The sequence below is a fragment of the Homo sapiens genome, chromosome 9 (assembly GCF_000001405.40).
Source record: "Homo sapiens chromosome 9, GRCh38.p14 Primary Assembly".
Classification (NCBI taxonomy): Eukaryota; Metazoa; Chordata; class Mammalia; order Primates; family Hominidae; genus Homo; species Homo sapiens.
In genome coordinates, this window is record NC_000009.12 from 88777817 (window position 1) to 88781092 (window position 3276).

A 3276-nucleotide genomic window follows, 5' to 3' on the forward strand; every position below is an offset into this window, starting at 1 on the left:
CCACCAGGAACCTTTTGTGTTTTTTCGCTCTGTTTCTCCCCCACTATTTGGGGCCAGAGCCCTCTGAGCCTCACATAATGAAATTCAGGTCGCTGTGCAGAAAATATTGAGCACAGAGAAACAAACCCCAGGAGGCAAACTCTGAGGCCGGAAGGTAGAATTAGGAGCAGCCAAAAAGGACAGCAGGCGAGTTCAACCGGATGCATGATCATTTCCTGTTCTTAAAATTCCCTTTAATATCCCCAGCCCAGCCCGCTGAGTCGGTGAGAAGCTGGGGAGGAAGAGCCCTGGCTGGGGTCAGGGGCCCAGGCTGCAGGCCCAGCTGGTGGCTCGCTAGTGAGGCCCTGGGGAGACCTCTCAGGCCTGTCTTCAAGTCAGTAAGGAGGGGCCAGTCCTGCAGCTCTACCCTCAGAGCATGGGTGGTGGTGGTGGGGTGTGTGTGTGTGTGTAAGGCAGGTCTGGCTCCAAGCATCAGGAAGTGAGAACTGGGGAGAGATGTCTTTTGTGGGGTTCACACCCTCCCCAGCCGGGTTCTCCCACTCTCCTGGAAGGAACGGGCAGCTAACACCTCAGAGCTCCTGGAACAGGCAGGGGATGCCCACCTCCTTATCTCAGGGAGTAACCTGTGCACAGTCCTGGGAACAGGCACGGTCATCTTAGTGATAGTGACAGTGTGGCCTGGCCTGCAGCAGTGAGTTCTGCACACTTCATTGCGGGGAAGCTGGATGGTAGAAAGTGGAGACATTCAACCAAGATGACGCAGTTGTTTGCAGCCACATGTAGAATTGACGCCTGTCTGAAAACCTCCCCACCATTTGGCCACGATCAGTGCTGACCCTCACTCTGTCCCTGGGCTGTGGCTGACACACACAGGGTCACTGCCAATTGCTCAGGGCTCCTGTCTCTCAATACATGTATTTTCACAAAAAGGACACTCACTAAAGTGATGTCGAGAGCCATCTTGAAGAGGAAGAATAAAAGACAAATAGGCTGGGCGTGGTGGCTCACGCCTGTAATCCCAGCACTTTGGGAGGTTGAGGCGGGCAGATCACGAGGTCAGGAGATTGAGACCATCCTGGCCAACATGGTGAAATGCTGTCTCTACTAAAAATACAAAAAATTAGCTGGGTGTGGTGGCAGGCACCTGTAGTCCCAGCTACTTGGGAGGCTGAGGCAGGAGAATTGCTTGAACCTGGGAAGCAGAGCTTGCAGTGAGCAGAGATTGCAGCACTGCACTCCAGCCTGGGCGACAGAGTGAGACTCTGTCTCAAAAAAAAAAAAAAAAAGACCAATAGTGGAACAGTGGAGTAGAACATGGGTAAAGGGAAGTCCTAACCTGTGCCTCTTAATATCTGGTGTCACTGAGAATATTCATCCTCAGGCTTCTTTTGAACCTATCTCCTTGGCCACATGGAATAGATAAATGAGAGATCAGAGGCTTCTGCTGGACTATGAGTCCACCCCTCTCCCAGGCTTGCTCCCTCCAGCCCTGGGCCTGGATGCCAAGTTCCCTGGGGACATGGATGCCACCCACCAGGATGGGACCATTGGGAGTTTCCTCCAAGAGGGTGGAATATGACCATTGTTCCTGACATTGCTCACTTTAATTAGTCCACTAGATGCTCCAATCCTTGAAGGAAACCATGTTTCATCTCCAGTTTACACACAAGGAACCTGAGGCTTAGAGAGCTCTGACTTTAGGAAGTTACAGGTAAACTTTAGAGCCCACGTTCCCTAACTTTGAGCCCATGGACTCCTCATTTGGAGTTCTCAGGCATAGGGTGGAGAGAGGTGTAGACAAAACCCCAGGGTCATGCTTGATCTGCTGTGCAACATGTTCAGCTGCTCCTGGATAAGTGCAAGGTGTTTATTTATTTATTTATTTTTGAGATGGAGTCTCTCCCTGTCGCCCAGGCTGGAGTGCAGTGGCGTGATCTCGGCTCACTGCAAGCTCCGCCTCCCAGGTTCAAGCAATTCTCCTGCCTCAGCCTCCGTATGAGTAGCTGGGACTACAGGCGCCCACCACCACGCCCGGCTAATTTTTTGCATTTTTAGTAGAGACAGGGTTTCACCGTGTTAGCCAGGATGGTCTCGATCTCCTGACCTCGTGATCCACCCGCCTCGGCCTCCCAAAGTGCTGGGATTACAGGCGTGAGCCACCGCGCCCGGCTGCAAGGTGTTTATTAAAAGGATTCCTGCCTATTAACGAAGACTTATTTTTCACACTTTTATTTCAAAACTTGTTTTTGTCCTTTTTATGTTTCCTAATTGTTAAGAAGTGGCTTTATTTCTCAATTTGAGACATCTTTCTCAACCACAGTGTTTCTTTTTGATATTGATAATTAACTTTTTTTGGCCTGTATTTAATGTTGGAAGGCAAATACTATGTCCCAAACTACACTTTAGAAAATGACGATGGTAAACTTCATCTTTTCACATTTATTGATTACCCAATTATCACTTGGATGCTGCTTTACAGCTCAGATCTTATAATTTCACTTACTCCTCATAAGGACCTCATCAGTGGCTATTATTATTATTATTATTTCCATGAGGGCTCAAGAGCTGATAAGTAATTTGTCCCAAAACCATAGAGCTGGCCCCTAAGCCCAGAATTACAGGCCTGTGTCCATCTCATTCAGCCAGTGTCCCCAAGAACAACCTGCATCTGTCTGCATCAGAACCACCAGAGGTGCTGACTAAAGAATGACGCATATTTACCACTCTACCTGCCTCAGCTACAAAGGACCACCACTCCTATAACTTCAGATCTCCAGGGAGGGGGTTGGAGGAGGCTTTTTAAAAACCTTCACCTCATTTATTTACTTGAAGTACACAAAACAGTAGAGAGAACAATACAATCAAGTGCGTTTTACCTAGCAAACTGCCAGCTTTACCAAATAGAAATGCAGGACATTCAGTTAAGTTTGAATTTCAGGTAAAAAATGGATGACTTTTTAATAAAAATATAACGTCACGTGGGACAATACTTATACCGAAACATCACTGTTTTCCTGGCCATCCAATTTTCACCCTCACTCTGCTCTCTCCCCAGTCCTGGCTTATTTTGAAGCCAATCTCAAAATTCCTAGCATTTCATCTTAAACATGTCAGAATACCACCCTAAAATGTAAGACAATTTTTTTTTAAGAAACACAAACACAGTACCATTATTGCACCTGAAAAACACAACAATAATTCCTTAATACCTAGTCAATGTCTAGTTATCTGGATAAAATAAAATGGTATTTTATAGGTTGTTTGTTGAATCAAAAT

At 47.0% G+C, this 3276-nt stretch overlaps 1 annotated feature.

The window, feature by feature from the left end:
- Positions 266–505: a silencer, noted in NCBI's record as "fragment chr9:91392997-91393236 (GRCh37/hg19 assembly coordinates)". NCBI's record gives its function as "represses an EF-1alpha promoter that drives an FKBP-Casp9 reporter gene in an ReSE screen in K562 erythroleukemia cells {active_cell/tissue: K562}" and the evidence as "EXISTENCE:reporter gene assay evidence [ECO:0000049][PMID:32094911]".